At 52.9% G+C, this 17,196-nt stretch overlaps 1 protein-coding gene across 2 annotated transcripts, besides 6 other annotated features; it reads right to left on the minus strand.

The window, feature by feature from the left end:
- Positions 1,117-1,616: an enhancer, noted in NCBI's record as "H3K4me1 hESC enhancer chr16:30564727-30565226 (GRCh37/hg19 assembly coordinates)". NCBI's record gives its function as "activates a minimal SCP1, AML or CMV promoter by ChIP-STARR-seq in naive H9 embryonic stem cells {active_cell/tissue: H9 hESC(naive)}" and the evidence as "EXISTENCE:reporter gene assay evidence [ECO:0000049][PMID:30033119]".
- On the minus strand, positions 1,475-6,085 carry ZNF764 (zinc finger protein 764). 2 transcript variants are annotated; one of them, NM_001172679.2, is made up of 3 exons: positions 5,698-6,085; positions 5,444-5,557; positions 1,475-3,818 (listed from the first exon to the last, which is right to left on the minus strand). In NM_001172679.2, the coding sequence occupies exons 1-3, from the start codon at positions 5,891-5,893 to the stop codon at positions 2,905-2,907; spliced, it is 1,224 nt and encodes a 407-aa protein (NP_001166150.1). In that variant the 5' UTR covers positions 5,894-6,085; the 3' UTR covers positions 1,475-2,904. The 2 variants fall into 2 exon arrangements, with proteins under 2 accessions (NP_001166150.1, NP_219363.2); NM_033410.4 differs by having other exon boundaries at positions 1,475-3,821.
- Positions 4,973-5,534: an enhancer, noted in NCBI's record as "H3K27ac-H3K4me1 hESC enhancer chr16:30568583-30569144 (GRCh37/hg19 assembly coordinates)". NCBI's record gives its function as "activates a minimal SCP1, AML or CMV promoter by ChIP-STARR-seq in primed H9 embryonic stem cells {active_cell/tissue: H9 hESC(primed)}" and the evidence as "EXISTENCE:reporter gene assay evidence [ECO:0000049][PMID:30033119]".
- Positions 6,075-6,214: an enhancer, noted in NCBI's record as "active region_10712". NCBI's record gives its function as "activates an Ori minimal core promoter by ATAC-STARR-seq in GM12878 lymphoblastoid cells {active_cell/tissue: GM12878}" and the evidence as "EXISTENCE:reporter gene assay evidence [ECO:0000049][PMID:35858748]".
- Positions 9,154-9,353: an enhancer, noted in NCBI's record as "active region_10713". NCBI's record gives its function as "activates an Ori minimal core promoter by ATAC-STARR-seq in GM12878 lymphoblastoid cells {active_cell/tissue: GM12878}" and the evidence as "EXISTENCE:reporter gene assay evidence [ECO:0000049][PMID:35858748]".
- Positions 9,374-9,523: an enhancer, noted in NCBI's record as "active region_10714". NCBI's record gives its function as "activates an Ori minimal core promoter by ATAC-STARR-seq in GM12878 lymphoblastoid cells {active_cell/tissue: GM12878}" and the evidence as "EXISTENCE:reporter gene assay evidence [ECO:0000049][PMID:35858748]".
- Positions 16,132-16,241: an enhancer, noted in NCBI's record as "active region_10715". NCBI's record gives its function as "activates an Ori minimal core promoter by ATAC-STARR-seq in GM12878 lymphoblastoid cells {active_cell/tissue: GM12878}" and the evidence as "EXISTENCE:reporter gene assay evidence [ECO:0000049][PMID:35858748]".

Here is a 17,196-nt window from a genome sequence, read left to right on the forward strand (position 1 = left end):
ATGCCTGTAATCCCAGCACTTTGGGAGGTCAAGGCAGGCAGATCACTTGGGGTCAGGAGTTCAAGACCAGCCTGGCCAACATGGTGAAACCTCATCTCTATTAAAAATACAAAAACTGGTCAGGTGTGGTGGCGCACACCTGTAATCCCAGCTACTCGGGAGGCCGAGACAGGAGAATCACTTGAACCCAGGAGGCAGAGGTTGCAGTGAGCCAAGATCGTGCCACTGCACTCCAGCCTGGGCATCAGAGAGAGACTCCATCTCAAAAACAAAACATTAAAAAAAAAAAAAACTGGTACAAAGGTATCTTCTACTGCCAAGGTTCCTCTTCTGACCCCAATATGCCCCTGTGATAAGGTGGCGCACGAGTCAACCCGCCCCAGAAAAGCTGAAGGAGAGAGAGACCTTGGTGGGGTCGGATTGGAGATGAGGTTGGAATAAAGTCAGTTCATTACTTCACTTGACACCGGAACAGTGTCTTTTCTCCAAAACTTCTACCTCCTTCCAGGTTGATTAATCTGGTTTCTTCCTTCCTGGGTAGGCCAGACACAGGGCTGAGCTGGGTGACTCTGCATAGGCCAGCAGAGGTCACAGGCCCTTGCTCTCCTCAGGGAGATGTTGTCCTAACCAGGAGCAGGGCAGGGGCTGCCCATGGCTAGACTCTGCCCACAAAGGAATTAGTGGTAGATGGATAATGGGGGTGGGGATTCTGTGCAGAGCTTGGGGATACAGATGGGTAGTCACCCCTGGCTACAAATCTAATCTAACACCAGGTGTTCCTGGCCTACCCCGCTCTGCCCATGATGGTACAGAGGAAAAATGCAAGGTCTGTGCGCCTTGGGACTCTCCTCGTTGCCTGGATTCTGAGTTGACCTGATCTGTCACATGGCCACTTTGTCAGAACTCATCTGGTACGTGGGCTTCACTGATGCTGGGCTAGTCTGACCCCATCCAGGTCAGGGCTGGGTGTTATCACAGGGAGGGGCAGATGCCTGCAAAACCCTGGCTGAGACACCAGTGAAGGCCTCAGGAGTGATGGGTAAAGTCAGCAGTCAGCTAAGAACCCTGGGGTCTCTGTGTGACCCTGGACAGGCTGCTTAGCCCTCCTTGGTCTCAGTGTCTCCAACTGTAAAAGCCTAGGAAAGTGAAGATCTCTTCTAGTTCAAAACTGTGATAAGGCCCTCCTGGCAGGGTCTAGGAGGGCTAAGAAGTCCTGAGGCATGTGGCTATCTCAGGGAGGCCCAAAGAAGACTGGAGGGAGCTCTCAAAACCTTCCCATTCAAAAACAGGAACTGCCTGTTGGCTGATGGCGGACACACCCCTTGGTTTGGGATGAAAGGCAGTCCTGACTGCCTCTTCCTGACCAGGCTGTCCTCTTCAACCAAGGGGTTTCTCTCAGCACTTATGAAGGTGAAATGATTCAATGGAAGAGACAGTACTTTGTAAACCATAAAATGCAATACAAGCAAAGATCTAAAATAAAACCAACTTTTACTTCTCTCTTGCCACCCTTTCTCTCCAACTCCAGAAAACCTGAGTGCTACAGACCACTGTTTGCAAACTCAAATGACCATAGGAACTCAGCAAGTCATATAAATGAGCGGGAAATGCCAGATGGAAAGGCCTATTTGGACAGAGACATGGGTCTAAGAAATACTTCCCTTTCTTCTTCGCTGTACTTTAAGATAAACACCAAAAACACTAAAAGCAAGCCATGATGAATGGCACGTGGTGCTTGGTCAGGAGCCCACGGGAGTGGTGGGGATGGGTGGCCGGGCCACGGTGAATTGTGAGTTCTGGCTCCGGCTCAGCTCCCAACAACTGTGGTTTTGTCGGAGCCTAGGTCGAGTTGCCAAATCTTTGGATTTTTCAAAAGACACCAGAAAACCTGTATTTGGTTGTAAAATATCCTTTTCAATTTTCACTACTAACTCATATCACTTAAAAACACTGCCTGGACTCAGATCAATAAATATGACAACCGCAGGCCAGATCCAGTACACAGTCACAGGATTTTAACTTGGGCAGTAAAAAGACAATGGAGGTGGTGGGTGCCTGTAGTCCCAGCTACTTGGGAGGCTGAGGAAGGAGAATTGCTTGAACTCTGGAGGCAGAGGTTGCAGTGAGCTGAGATTGCGCTATTGCACTCCAGCCTGGGCAACAAGAGCAAAACCCCATCACACACACACACACACAAAGACAATGGAAGCCAGGCATGGTGGTAGCTCACGCCTGTAATCCCAGCACTTGCGGAAGCCGAGACGACAGGATCACTTCAGCCAAGGAGTTTGAGACCAGCCTGGACAACAGTGAGAACCTCATCTCTATGTAAAATTTAAAAATTAGCTGGCCGTAGTGTTGCCCGCCTGTAGTCTCAGATATTTGGAAGGCTGATGGGAGAGGATTCCTTGAGCACTGCAGGTTGAGGCTGCAGTTAGCCCTGTTCACACCACTGCACTCCAGCCTGGGTGACAGAGCAGGAAGCTGTCTCAGAAATAAATAAATAAATAAATAAAAAGACAATGAGTATTGTGTTCTGGGAGGGTCACAAGAATAAAAATAATGATAAAAAATTTAAAAAGACAATGGGTAAAACAAGGTTCTCCTCTACCTCAGTCCTCTTAGCACCTCTGGGCTGAGAAACAGCTTTTGGTTCCCCTTATGTAGGTCTGGGGGTTCTCAACTCAGCCCTGCCTCAGTAGAGGGGGCCTTGGAGAGCCCTGGGCAGTGGGGAGCAAGGTGCTGGCAGAGGAGGCTGCTAAGGGCCCAAGATCAGACTGTCCGCACCCCAGGGCCAGCTCTTGCCCTAGATTCTGGGACCTCCCTGCAGGCCGCCGCAGAGGTTCGGGCCCCTGAGCCCATCTCGGGCCTCCCGTAATGTCTAGATAGTCACTTTTAAGGCCGTCACCCACACTCCTGGAATATCTCCGGGTACAGCTGGAAGCCCACGGGCGGGTCCAGGTCTCCGTGGCCAGGGGTCAGGGTCACAGACAGACGCCCGGCGACCCGGCCCCTGTGGCCCCCGGCCCCGGGCCGATGAACCCACTGGTGTTTGGCCACGGCTGACTTCTGGCCAAAGCGGCGGCCGCACTGCGGGCAGGGGTAGGGCTTCTCGCCGCTGTGGGTGCGCCTGTGGGCTGCCATCTCCGAGCTCTGGCGGAAGCAGCGCCCGCAGTCCGGGCACGGGTAGGGCTTCTCGCCGGTGTGGGTGCGCACGTGGCGCCGCAGGTCCGAGGGGTAGGCGAAGGCGCGGCCACAGTCCGGGCAGGGGAAGGGGGTCTCGCCGCTGTGCACGCGCCGGTGCTGGTAGAGGGCAGAGCTCTGGCTGAAGCGGCGGCCACAGTCGGCGCAGCCATAGGGTTTCTCGCCGGTGTGGACGCGCAGGTGCGAAGTCAGCGCCGAGCGCTGCGTGAAGGCCCGGCCACACTCCAGACAGCGGTGGGGCCGCTCCCCACGATGGATGGCCCGGTGTTTGCTCAGGGAGGAAGCGTGGCCGAAGCCCTTGCCGCAGTCAGTGCAGTGGAAGGGCTTCTCGCCAGTGTGACTGTAGACGTGCTCCACCAGTGTGGAGCGCCAGGCAAAGCTCTTCCCGCACACGTAGCAGCCATGACGCTGGTCAGCTCGGGGGACAGGGGGGTGGGCACAGAGGGAGGGGCGTCCCCGGTGCGGTGCCTTGGACAGCTGCTCCCAACCATAAGGGGGCCCGGCCGAGGGGGCTTGGGGAGACTTCAGCCCAGGAGACCCGGCGGCCACAGGGTCGGGCTTCTCCAGGGCTCCCGTCCCTTCCCTTTGTCTTTCCTTTTTCTTGTTTCTGGAATCTGCTGAGAGATAAAGAGGGGAGAGTTCAGGCTCGGCTCATCCTGGTCCTTGAATCCCACAGCCCGCGTGGACAGGGACAGGCCTGCTGGATCCCCGGCTGCTCCTGGGAGATGGAGGAGTGACACCTGTTCCTCGGCTGCAGAGCCAGACAGAGCCGGGAGGGAGAGAACAGCCCATTCCGCCTCGGGGCTGGGGAAATGTCACGGTGGGGGAAGGGCAGAGATGACATGAACATCTGGGCCTGATCCAGAAGGAGGAACGGACACCTGAGGATGTTCCAGGCAGCAGGAACAGCACCAAGAAAGGCAGAACCAGGAGGGCATGGCCAAGTTCAGTGGGGCTGGATACTCTGCAAAGGCTGAGGGCAAGAAATGAAAGAAAAAAAGGGGGGCGGACGGGGAGAAAGGAACCAGCCTGCAGGTGAACGGCAGGGGTGGGTCCTGAGGTGGAGGTAGAGTCAACAGAGTTTAAGAGACTGGGCGTGGGGGCTCAAGGCGGTAATCCCAGCGCTTTGGGAGGTAGAGAAGGAGGATCAGCCTAGGATTTCAGGACCAGCCTGGGCAACACACCGAGAGCCAAGACCCCCTCTATAAAATATATATATTACATAACAATTTAAAACAATTAGGCCAGACGCAGTGGGTCACTTTGGAAGGCCGAAGCAGGCGAATCGCTTAGCTCCAGGAGTTAAAGACCAGCCTGGGCGACATAGTGAAACCCTGTCTCTACTAAAAATACAAAAAATTGGCTGGGCGCGGTGGCTCACGCCTGTAATCCCAGCACTTTGGGAGGCCGAGGCGGGCAGATCACAAAGTCAGAAGTTCGAGACCAGCCTGGCTAACATGGTGAAACCCCATCTCTACTAAAAACACAAAAACAAAATTAGCCGGGCGTGGTGGCGGGCGCCTGTAGTCCCAGCTACTGGGGAGGCTGAGGCGGGAGAATGGCGTCAACCAGGGAGGCGGAGCTTGCACTGAGCCGAGATGGCGCCACTGCACTCCAGCCTGCGCGACAGAGGAAGACTCTGTCTCAAAAAAAAAAAAAAAAATTAAGCAGGCTTGGTGGCGGGCGCCTGTAATCCCAGCTACTTGGGAGGTTGATACAGGAGAATTACTTGAACCTGGGAGTGGGAGGTTGCAGTGAACTGAGATGGCACCACTGCACTCCAGCCTGGGCAACGGAGTAAAACTCTGTCTAAAAAAAAAAATTACCCAGGCTTCGTGGCGAGCACCTGTACAGTCTTAGCTACTCTGGAGGCCCAGGTGGAAGGACTGCTTAAGCCCGGGAGTTCCAGGCTACAGTGAGCTATGATGCCGCCACTGCACTCAGCCTAGACAACAAAGCGAGACCCTGTCTCTAAAACAAAAACACCAAAAAAAGCCCCCAGAGTGTAGTGACCACGCAGAGGTGAGGACTCAGAGGCGGGTATGGCAGGGCCAGAGCCCCCATCACAGCTCCTTTCTAGGCTGCATCTGGGAGCCACGCAGGGGCTCAGCCTCGTCGTCGCAGTTGAGAAGGCAGTTCAGAGAGGAAACTGCTAAGCAGGTAGCTGGAGGTGGCAGAGGGTACCGGGATGGGACAGGAACAGAGAAGTCCCCATGGGACTGAGCACCCGATACTCCACCTGGGTCCGTTTGTGTCTGACATTTCGCCACCTCCGGATCCTGGGCAGCCGGACCCCACAGTTCGGCCTCCTCCTCCACCCAGGAGATGAGAGCTGGCTTGTTGCCTCCGATTCCTAGGGAAGAAGAACGCAAACCCCACGCTGCGGGGAGGCCACCTGCCCGGCCCCGGGGCCCCCAACTTCACGCGCAGCTCCCAGAGGCGCGGCAGGGCCTGTGGGGGCGCAGGGCTCAGGCGAGCAGGTGGGGCTCTCACCGAGAGCGCTCAGGTGGCCGTAGGTCTCCCGCATCACGTCCCGGTACAGGGCCCTCTGCGCTGGCCGCAAGCAGCCCCACTCCTCCCGGCAGAAGTACACGGCCACGTCCGCGAAGCTCACAGCCCCCGGCTCCCTCCACTCGGGTCCGGCCCCGTTTGGGTCCCGGGGAGGGAGCGGGGCCAGAGGCGGCGCCATGGTAACTGTCAACCCCGACGACGGATCGGCTGCCTCCCCTGGCCTGGCCTGGGCCTGCGGAACCTCCTGCGCCCGAGAAAGCCTCCCCGGCCCGGGCCCAAGGGAAGGAGGGAGGTTACTAGGGCCCCCGAGGGCGCACTAGAGGGCGTGGAAACTAACGGTGCCGATGGCAGCGGGTGTATAATCAGAAATGGAATATGCCCTCATAAAAAATGGCGGCGGCGCGGGTACTCGACCTTTGCCCCTACGCAGTCGTGCCCAAGACAACGCCCCCGGTATCTCCAGTCCGCGTTCTCTCCGTACCCTCATCCAAAATGGCCGCGGTGACTAATACAGAGGCCGGCCTTGAAAACTAGCCGCGCATGTTTAGTCCCCGGCCCGGCGAGGCGGTGCAGCAGAGAGCTCCGCCCCGGCCCGGCGAGGCGGTGCAGCAGAGAGCTCCGCCCCGGTTTGCACGAACAAAAGAGCGCCTCGCGGGAGTGAGCTGGCCTCCCGGCCTTACTGAACTCAGGCATTAGTTTTCGTTTGTGGACCGTTTTATAATCGGGCTCCAGCTCATCACTCTCTCGTTTTGTCCTTGTTATCTCAGAAACAGGGCAACAGCAGTCTCTTCCCAATGTTGAGTGTAAAAAAACCAATGGAGTGGGCGTGGCGCAGTGGCTCACGCTTGTAATCAGCAGTTTGGGAGGCCGAGGCCAGCGGAACAACTGAGGTCAGAAGTTCGAGACCAGCCTCACCAACATGGTGAAACCCCGTCTCCACTAAAAACACACAAAAAAACAGCCAGGTGTGGTGGCGTGCACCTGTAATCCCAGCTACTGGGGAGGCTGAGGCAGGAGTATCGCTTGAACGCGCGAGGCGGAGTTTGCAGTGAGCCGAGATTGCCTCACCGCACTCCAGCCTGGGCGACAGAGCGAAACTCTGTCTCAAAAATAAAAAAGAAAGAAAGAAAGAAAAAGGAGTGGATACAGGAGAACCTCCTCCATCGTAGGCTTGTTGGGGCCTGAAATTCTGGAAGTTTCTAGATGGCGGAGGCAGTGGGGAGAGTAGGGTAAGGTTGAGAAAGTCAGAGGGTCCTCTCTTCTAGGAGCTTCTCCCATGTGCTGCTCAGGACGCCTCCCAATTGCCAGTCTCCCTGTAGCTGCAGCCGGGCTCTCACCTCCCCTCACATCCTGCCCCTGGACAGATGGCCCAAGGCTCCTCTACTCAAATCCAACTCATCCCTTTCTTGCCCCAATCTGCTTCCCCTAGGGTCTTTATCTAGTAAATGTCACCAACTCTCCCCCAGACCTCTCTCTCACTTTCTGATGGTCTATTCTGTGCTCCACGTGACTTCATACATGTCCTGTTGTAGCAGGACAAGCCACAGACAAAACCCCTCAGACACCGAGTTGAAGGAAGGGTTTTATTCGGCTGGGAGCATCGGCAAGACTCACATCTCAAAAACCGACTCCCCGAGTGAGCAATCCCTGTCCCTTTTAAGGGCTCACAACTCTAAGGGGGTCCCCGTGAGAGGGTCGTGATCCATTGAACAAGCAGGGGATATGTGACTGGGTGCTGCAGGCACTGGTAATTAGAACAGGACAGGACAGGACAGGGATTTTCACAGTGCTTTTCTATACAATGTCTGTAATCTATAAATAACAAAACTGATTAGGTCAGAGGTCGATCTTTACCAGGCCCAGGGTGTGGCGCCAGGCTGTCTGCCTGTGGATTCCATTTCTGCCTTTGAGTTTTTACTTCTTCTTTCTTTGGAGGCAGAAATTGGGCGTAAGACAATATGAGGGATGGTCTCCTCCCTTACTGTGTATGGGAGTCAGAGTTGCCTCCAACTGCCTTTTAGCTCTTGGTGGGCTCTTTAGTTGAATGTAGGCCCAGATTGAGAATCGCCTGTAATGCTAACTACTGGGAGGCAAAGGCAGGAGGATCCCTTGAGCCCAAGAGTATGAGATCAGCCTGGGCAAGTTAGTGAAACCCTATCTTCAAAAAATAAAAATAAAAATAAACTAAAGTAAAATAAGAACAAATGAATTGACAGTGGACAAACGAGAAAATTATACCAATTGTATTAGTTTTACATGTACATGGGGATCTTCACAAGAGAGGGAAGTCAGAAAAAGTGCCCAAAGCCAGGTGCTTTTATATTTTTTAGACAAAGAACAATAAAATTTCAGTGGGCAGACGCGGTGGCTCATGCCTGTAATCCCAGCACTTTGGGAGGCCGAGGTGGGCAGATCACTTGAGGTCAGGAAACCCCGTCCTTACTAAAAATTAAAAAAAAAAAGGTAGCTGGGGGTGGTGGTGGGTTCCTGTAATCCCAGCTACTCAGGAGGCTGAGGCAGGAGACTCACTTGAACCTGGGAGGCAGAGGTGGCAGTGAGCCAAGATTGAGCCACTACACTCCAGCCTGGGCGGGAGAGAGACTTCGTTTAAAAAAAAAAGAAGAAGAGGGCCGGCCCGGTGGCTCATGCCTGTAATCCCAGCACTTTGGGAGGCTGAGGTGGCCGGATCACGAGGTCAAGAGATCGAGACCATCCTGGCCAACATGGTGAAACCCCGTCTCTACTGAAAATACAAAAATGAGCCAGGCATGGTGGTGCGTGCCTGTAGTCCCAACTACTTGGGAGGCTGAGGCAGGAGAATAGCTTGAACCCGGGAGGCAGAGGTTGTAGTGAGCCGAGATTGCGCCACTGCACTCCAGCCTGGGCGACAGAGCAAGACTCGGTCTCAAAAATAAAAAATAAAAAATAAAAGAAAGAAAGAATAAAAGAAAAAAGAAATGACAGGACAAAGAAAATTTGGCTAGGGCAGTGAGTAACTAGAATATGTATCAGGGGGTTGTCAAACAGGTACAAGATACAGATGACTTTGTTACGTATGTTTATTCTGGTCCCTTGTGGCTTCTCAGGGCTGTTTTCTTGCCCTGGTACAGAAGGATACTCCCCCAGAGTAAGGTTTCTGGCATGCTCCATGCAGAAGAAACAGGTCGGATTGCTCCTTCTGAAACTACAATTTCTCTGTTTTTAACTCAGAATATATCAGTATACCAGGCTGTGAATGTTTTACAGGAGGTCCAGGGGAGCCCCTGTGGAGGAGCCTGGAGGGAACTTCAGGGAGGGTGATCTGGCGGGAATCTCAGGAAACAGCTCAACCTGCCGCATAAGTGAGGAGAGCCACTTCTTTCCCTTTTCGGGGATCCGGGTGGGGCGGGCGCCGCTGAGCGCGTCTAGGTGGCCGCAGGTCGCGGCATCGCGTCCCGGATCAGGACGCGAACATCCCTATACCGCAGACACCCCCACTGCGCCAGGAAGCGGCAGTCGGCCGTTTCCGCGGAGCTCTCGGTCCTCAGACACTTTCCCAGTCTCCGTCCCTTCCACCTTCCCTGGTTCATTGGCTTGGAGCCATGAGCGCGGCCAGTGGCTCCGCGGCTCCCGGAGGGACGCTGGGGGTTTGCCCTGGGAGTAGGGTGCAGGAGGTTCCACGGACGCCTCGACGACCGGTAGTAGCTTCGGGTGGGGCCTAGAGAGGACGGCGAGCAACTCTGTGGTTCCGGAGTCCAGAAAAATGAAAGCGCTCTTAGAAAAGATGGCTGGCGGCTGGGCACGGTGGCTCACGCCTGTAATCCCAGCACTTTGGGAGGCCGAGGCGGGTGGATCACTTGAGGTGAGGAACTCAAGACCAGCCTGACCAACGTGGTGAAACTCCGTCTCTACTAAAAATACAAAAATTAGCCGGGCATAGTGGCACACGCCTGTAATCCCAGCTACTTGGGAGGCTGAGGCAGGAGAAGCGTGTGAACCCGGGAGGCAGAGGTTGAAGTGAGCTGAGGTCGTGCCACTGCACTCCAGCCTGGGTGACAGAGTGAGATTCTTGTCTCAAAAAAAAAAGAAGAAGAAAAGATGGCTGGCGACAGTCCAGCTTCTCTTCATTTTAGAGAAAGGCATTGAACAGCTTGAATATCGATCCGGTGTTGCTGACCTAGTTTGTTCCTGCTGGAAAAGTCTTCTCTTGCTGTTCCTCCCAGGCGGCCTTGGCAGCGCCTCTTGCCCGTAGTTAAGATGGGTGCGGCCGCTTTGACCTGGGCTCAGGCAGGTGGCAGCAAAGGCTGCAGGGGAGGGGAAACCGGTCCAAGATTCTCGACCGAGGGCCTGACGTCCCCTTCCCAGTCCCTTAGAGGAGGCCCTTCGAGGAGGCCCACTCAGTGACGGAGTCTTTTTTTTTTTTTTTTTTTTGAGACAGAGTCTCACTTTGTCGCCAGGCTAGAGTGCAGTGGCGCGATCTCCGTTCACTGCAACTTCTGCCTCCCTGGTTCAAGCAATTCTCCTGCTTCAGCCTCCCGAGTAGCTGGGATTACGGGCACGCGCCACCACGTCCAGCTAATTTTTGTATTTTTAGTAGAGACGGGGTTTCACCATGTTGGCCAGGATGGTCGCGATCTCCTGACCTCGTGATCCCCCCGCCTTGGCCTCCCAAAGTGCTGGGATTACAGGCATGAGCCACAGCGCCCGGCGCCAAGTCTTTATTTTATTATTTTATTTTAGTTCTTTTTAAATTGTTTTCTATTCTATTCTATTCCACTTTACACACTCTCTCTCTCCTTTTTTTGAGACGTAGTTTCGCTCTTGTTGTCCAGGCTGGAGTACAATGGTGCAATCTCGGCTCACTGCAACCTCCGCCTCCCAGGTTCAAGCGATTCTCCTGCCTCAGCCTCCTGAGTAGCTGGGAATACAGGTGCCTGCCACCACGCCCGGCTAATTTTTTGTATCTTTAGTAGAGAGGGGGTTTCACCATGTTGGCGAAGCTGGTCTTGAACTCCTGACCTCAGGAAATCCACCCGCCTGGGTCTCCCAGAGTGCTGGGATTACAGGCGTGAGCCACTGCACCCGGCCTCTACTCTCTACTCTTGAGAGGGAGTTTTGCTCTTGTCCCCCAGGCCGGAGTGCAATGGCATGATCTTGGCTCACTGACCCCAGAAGCCAGGCTGGAATGCCTCAAATTATTGAAGGCAAAACCTTAGCAACTAGAGAGAGGTGGGATTTTAGGCTAGGTTACTACACTGCCATGTAAATGTAAAGAGGAAAAATATACAGTTTGAGAGGCTGAGGCAGGCAGATAACTTGAGGTCAGGAGTTCGAGACCAGTCTGGCCAACATGATGAAATCCTGTCTCTACTAAAAATACAAAAATTAGATGGGCATGGTGGCATGTGCCTGTAGTACCAGCTACTCAGAACACTGAGGCAGGAGAATCGCTTGAACCTGGAGGTGGAGGTTGCAGTGACCAGAGATCACACACTGCACTCCAGCCTGGCCCACAGAGCGAGACTCCATCTCAAAAAACAATAATAATAAATAAGGCCAGGCACGGTAGGTCATGCCTGTAATCCCAGCACTTTGGGAGGCCGAGGCTGGTGGATCACCTGAGGTCAGGAGTTTGAGACCACCTTGAGAAATATGATGAAACCCCATCTCTATGAAAAATACAAAAATTAGCGGGGCATGGTGGCATGCACTTGTAATCCCAGCCACCCAGGAGGCTGAGACAGGAGAATCGCTTGAACCTGGGAGGCGGAGGTTGCAGTGAACCAAGATCGTGCCATTGCACTCCAGCCTGGGCAACAAGAGCGAAACTCCATCTCAAAATAAATAAATAAATAAATGTAAAGAAAAATATAAATGACAGACTATGATAAGTACTAAAAATAAGAGGGTTGTTTAGGGGTCATGTAATGGGGGGTTGTTCAGATATCTAGGAAGTGTGTGAAATTGCCCAGGATGGGTGACAAACGCTTCACAAAGGGTCCCCTGTAGCATCTCTCACCGCTGTCCCCTCTTGCTCAGGCCCTTGCTGAGTTAGGCCAGGGGCCTCCTAGCTGGCCTCTGGGCCTCCAGCCTTTTGCCTTTGCCGTCCATCTGTCACTGCAGCCTGGTGTAGTGAAAACAGGAAGAGCAGTGCCTGGGAAATAGGAGATTTGGGTTCCAGGTCTACTTCTGCCACTGACTCAGCTTCATGATCTTAATTATGTCCCCTCCTTGGGTCAGGTGCTGTGGCTCATGCCTGTAATCCCAGCACTTTGGGAGGCTGAGGTGGGTGGACCACGAGGTCAGAAGTTCAAGACCAGCATGGCCAACATGGTGAAACCTCGTCTCTACTAAAAATACAAAAATTAGCTGGGTGTGGTGGTGTGCATTTGTGATCCCAGCTACTCTGGAGGCTGAGGCAGGAGAATCACTTCAACCCAGGAGGCGGAGGTTGCAGTGAGCCAAGATCACACCACTGCACTCCGGCATGGGCGACAGAACAAGACTCTGTCTTGGAAAAAAAGAAAAAAATTATGTCCCCTCATCTCTCTGGCTTCAGCATTCTCAGAGTGTATTCTGCAGAACAGTATTCCCATGAGAAGCTCTATGGAAAAAAAACAAACAAACAGCCTTCTCCATTCCCCTTGACAGTCCCCTTTGGCAAATTTAAGGTTCAGGGCAGCCTTCAATAAAGAAATGTAGTCCGCCGGGGGGCATGGTAGCACATGTCTGTACCACATGTCTGTAGTCCCAGTGCTTTGGGAGGCTGAGGCAGGAGGATTGCCTGAGCCCAGGTGTTTGAGGCTGCAGTGAGCTACAATCATGCCACTGCACTCCAGCCTGGGCGACAGTGAGACCCCATCTCTAAAAAAATTTTTTCACATTAAAAAAAACTTTCCAGGCCAGACGCTGTGCCTCATGCCTGTAATCCCAGCACTTTGGGAGGCTGAGGCAGGTGGATCATGAGGTCAGGAGTTCGAGACCGGCCTGGCAAACATGGTGAAACCCTGTCTCTACTAGAAATGCAAAAATTAGCTGGGCGTGGTGGCACGCACCTGTAATCCCAGCTACTCAGGAGGCTGAGGCAGGAGAATTGCTTGAACCCAGGAGGCAGAGGCTGCAGTGACCTGAGATCCCAACACTGCATTCCAGCCTAGATGACAGAGTGAGACTCCTCTGTCTCAAAAAAGAAAAAAAAAATTGGAGATGGAGGGCTGTGATGGTTCTACAATAGTACTATTACACATTTTGCCACTGAACTGTACTGTACACTCAAAAATAGTCTAAATGATAAATTGTATATTATGTATATTTACCACAAAACAAAAACAAAGACAACCCAGTGATGTCCCAACATACTGAGAATCATGGAGCTGGGTGCAGTGGCTCACACCTGTAATCCCAGCACTTTGCGAGGCTGAGGCAGGGGGACTTCTTGAGCCTAGGAGTTTGAAACCAGCCTGGGCAACATAGTGAGACCCTGTCTGGAAAAAAAATTAGCTGAGTGCGGTGGTGTGCACCTGGGATCCCAGCTACTTGGGAGGCTGAAGTGGGAGGATGACTTGAGCCTGGGAGATCAAGCCTGCAGTGAACCATGATTGCACCATTGCACTCCAGCCCAGGAGAGAAAGCGAGACCCTGTCACAAAGAAAGAAGACGTGGTGTCGGGGTGGGGGTTAGAAAGAGAAGGAAGAAAAGATACTTAGCATCATGGGAAGCGAGAGCCTTGTGGGAGCGCCTCCCCCTCCCTAAGCCCATCTGTTAATCTTCTCCACCTGGTGTCTCAGCACAGCTACAGATGTCCTTTCTGCACCTTGTGGGAACTCATCCCTAGCTTGGAACATCCCACTTGCTGTTCCCTTTCTTTGGAAACGTCTCTACCCCCTACTCTCCCCGACCCCAGCCCCAAGCCTTTGAACCCTGCCCTTCCCCACTCCCTGTCCCCTAACCCTGTTCCCTGTGGCTCTTTCTCAACATGGCGCAGCCTCAGTATCGGTCTGCAGCAGGCTCTTTCTGCACATCGCTGTTCGAGCTCCTTCATAAGCCTTAGTATTTGCATTCGCAGTCCCTTCCTTCATTCGTGTTCTGGTTTATCACCTGTCTCTCCCTCGTAGAAAGTAAGCTCCAAGAGGGTTCCTGTGTCTGTTTCCCCTGCTATGTTCTGGCATGGAGAATAACAGCTAGTGCATGGTAAACGCTTAGCAGCTATTTGTTAAATGCGCCAATGAGAAAGAGAAATAGCAGACAGCACTTGCCCTGTGTCCAGCACCAGAGCTGGGGCTGCCCAGAGCAGCTTTATGCTTGACACACTTCACCTGGTTCTGCTCCTCCCTCACTGGCAGGGCCTCCTCTCTCCAGCTGCACCTTCTCCTTGGCCTCCCTGCTCCCCAGAACGGATCACCCTTGGCCTTCACACCCTCCTACTCCTGATCACCCCTTGGTGGGCATCAGGTCCCCTGGCTCCGGCTCTCCATACTGGAACCTCTGGGTCTTACTGGCTCATATTGGCAGTCACCGAGCTGCAGATTCTATGTCAGAAGCCTCTCGTGTCTTTCTTCCTAATTCCAAGGTCACCACCTTGGTCCCAGCTCCCAGTGACCCTCACTTAGGAAAAAATGCCCAACAGATCTCTAGTGTCTAGCTCTGTCCCCCAACCAGGTCACACCCACACTGCTTTGCAAAGATATCTTCTGATAGCACCTGGCAAACAGCACTGCACTTGCTCAAGAACTTTCTGTGGCTCCTCAGTGCCACAGAATGTATCTCAAGCTGCTCTGGTGGCCTCTGTGGCCCTCCCAGATTTGACCCCACTTCTCGGCTGCATCTGTCTCCCATTCTTCCTTATCTAGTTTTTTTGTTTTGTTTTGTTTTTGTTTTTGAGACAGAATGTCTCACTCTGTCGCCCAGGCTGCAGTGCAGTGGCACGATCTCGGCTCACTGCAACCTCCACCTCCCGGGTTCAAGCGATTCTCCTGCCTCAATCTCCCGAGTAGCTGGGATTACAGGTGCCCACCACCATGCCCAACTAATTTTTGTATTTTTAGTAGAGACAGGGTTTCACCATGTTGGCTGGGCTGGTCTTGAACTCCTGACCTCAGGTGATCTGCCCGCCTCAGCCTCCCAAAGTGTCTTTTATTCTTTCTATGAAGCAAGACTCCTTTGCTGTTTCCTCTGCCTGAAAATCTCCCCCAACACCAATTCATAGGCTATGGGAAGCACAGCCATCTCCTCCCAGGAACATTTCCTGGCATATCACCAACCAGCCTAGGTGAGGTGGTGCCTCTGGGCTTCCTCTGTCATAGCGCCAATTAATCTCTTCCCACGTCGAACGTGGGCCCTGACTCAGCTGTATCACTGGAGCCCAGCACAAAAACCCACAGAGGCTTCAGGAGGGTGTTTGCTGAATGAATGAATGAATGGGGTCAGCTTTCGTCATCGTGGAATTCCCCTATTACCTAGCACAGTCCCTTCAACAGAAGGCACTCAACACACAGTCACTAAGTGCCAATTGTACCTTCTTTTTTGTTTTTCTTTTTGAGACAGAGTCTCACTCTGTCGCCCAAGTTGGAGTGCAGTGGCGCAATCATGGGTCACTGCAGCCTCAGTCTCCCTGGCTCAAGTGATCCTCCTGCCATAGCCTCTCAAGTAGCTGAGACTACAGGCACGCGCCACCACACCTGGCTGATTTTTGTTTTTGTAGAGATGGGGGCCTCACTATGTTGCCCAGGCTGTTCTCAAACGCCTGAGCTCAAGAGATCCTTCCATCTCGGCCTCCCAAAGTGTTGGGATTACAGGTGTGAGCCACCACGCCCAGCATGACTGTGCCTTCTAAGTAAAAACTGGCCAGGCGAGGTGCCTCACACCTGTAATCCCAGCACTTTAGGAGGCAAAGGTGGGAGGATCTCTTGAGCTCAGGAGGTCAAGGCTATAGAGAGCCATGTTAACACCACTGCACTCCAGCCTGGGTGACAGAGTGATACTCTATCTCAAAAAAATAAAAGAGAAAAGGAAAGGATAAGAAAAGGGGCACTTACTGGGACTCTTAGTTTTCTGCTCACACTCCCCAAGCAGGCTGGGCTGGGACCTGCATCCTGAGTTCCCAGCCCGTGTTTTCTGTCCAGATCTGACTTCTCAAAGGAAGTGGTAGAGACATCTGGGCTCTGTGTTCATTTCCACCCATGCTGCCACATGGGAGTGAAATCTTGAGAGCATCACGTTATCTCTCTGAGTCTCAGTTTACTTATCTGCAAACATGGTTATTGATATCCATGCCCTGGCTCCCTGGCAGGCTTCTTTACACTTTCTAAAGTGTAGACCATCCACAGTAATTCACTCTTTCAACAAATGTGTATTGCACAATTACTATGTCATACATCTTGTTAAAATGTCAGTCTCCACGGTAACCCTTTGAGGTAGATATTATTCATCTTCATTTTACAGAGGAGGCACTGAGACTCAGGAAGTTCACATGACTTACCAGCTGTGCCTGGGGTAAGTTGCAGAGACTAGTTTTTGTTTTGTTTTGTTTGTTTGAGACAGAGTCTCACGCAGCTGCCCAGGCTGGAGTGCAGTGGCGCAATCTCGGTTCACAGCAACCACTGTCTCCTGGGTTCAAGCAATTCTCCCATCTCAGCCTCCTGAGTAGCTAAGATTACAGGCACCCACCATCATACCCAGCTAATTTTTGTATTTTAGTAGAGATGGGGTTTCACCATGTTGGCCACTGGTCTTAAACTCCTGACCTCAGGTGATCTGCCCACCTCGGCCTCCCAAAGTGCTAGGATTACAGGCATGAGCCATGGCGCCAGCTTTTTTTTTTTTTTTTTTCTTCTAAGAAATGGAGTCTTGGCCAGGCGCAGTGGCACATGCCTGTAATCCCAGCACTTTGGAAGGCCAAGGTGGGTGGATCACCTGAGGTCAGGAGTTTGAGACCAGCCTGGCTAACATGTGAAACCCCGTCTCTACTGAAAATGCAAAAATTAGTAGGGCATGGTGGCGTGCACCTGTAATCCCAGCTACTCAGGAGGCTGAGGCAGGAGAATTGCTTGAACCTGGGAGGCAGAGGTTGCAGTGAGCTGAGATGGCGCCACTGTACTCCACCCTTAGTGACAGAGTGAGACCCTGTCTCAAAAAAAATAAAAGAAAGAAATGAAGTCTTGCTCTGTTGCCCAGACTGTAGTACAGTGGCACAATCATAGCTCACTGTAGCCTTGAACTCCTGGGCTCAAGCAGTCCTCCCACCTCAGCCTCCCAAGTGGCTGGGACCACAGGCACGATGTGCCACTATGCCTGGTTCATTTTTTTTTTTTTTTTTTGTAGAGATAGGATTTCACTATCTCTAGATAGTGATATCCTAGATATCTAGATATCGCTAGATAGCCTGTTGCTCAGGCTGGTCTGAACTCCTGGACTCAAACGATCCTCCCTCCTTGGTCTCCCAACAGAGGCTGGATTTGTGCCACCTGCATCTATTCTACTCCCATCCACTCCAGTGTCTGGGTC

Source organism: Homo sapiens, chromosome 16, assembly GCF_000001405.40.
Source record: "Homo sapiens chromosome 16, GRCh38.p14 Primary Assembly".
Taxonomy (NCBI): domain Eukaryota; kingdom Metazoa; phylum Chordata; class Mammalia; order Primates; family Hominidae; genus Homo; species Homo sapiens.

Coding starts and splice junctions, on each gene's coding strand:
- ZNF764 (NM_033410.4), bottom strand. CDS start 5,893: ATGGCGCCGCCTCTGGCCCCGCTCCCTCCCCGGGACCCAAACGGGGCC. Junction 5,558..5,697: donor CGGCCACCTGAGCGCTCTCG/GTGAGAGCCCCA, acceptor CTTCTTCCCTAG/GAATCGGAGGCAACAAGCCA. Junction 3,822..5,443: donor TCAGACACAAACGGACCCAG/GTGGAGTATCGG, acceptor TTTATCTCTCAG/CAGATTCCAGAAACAAGAAA.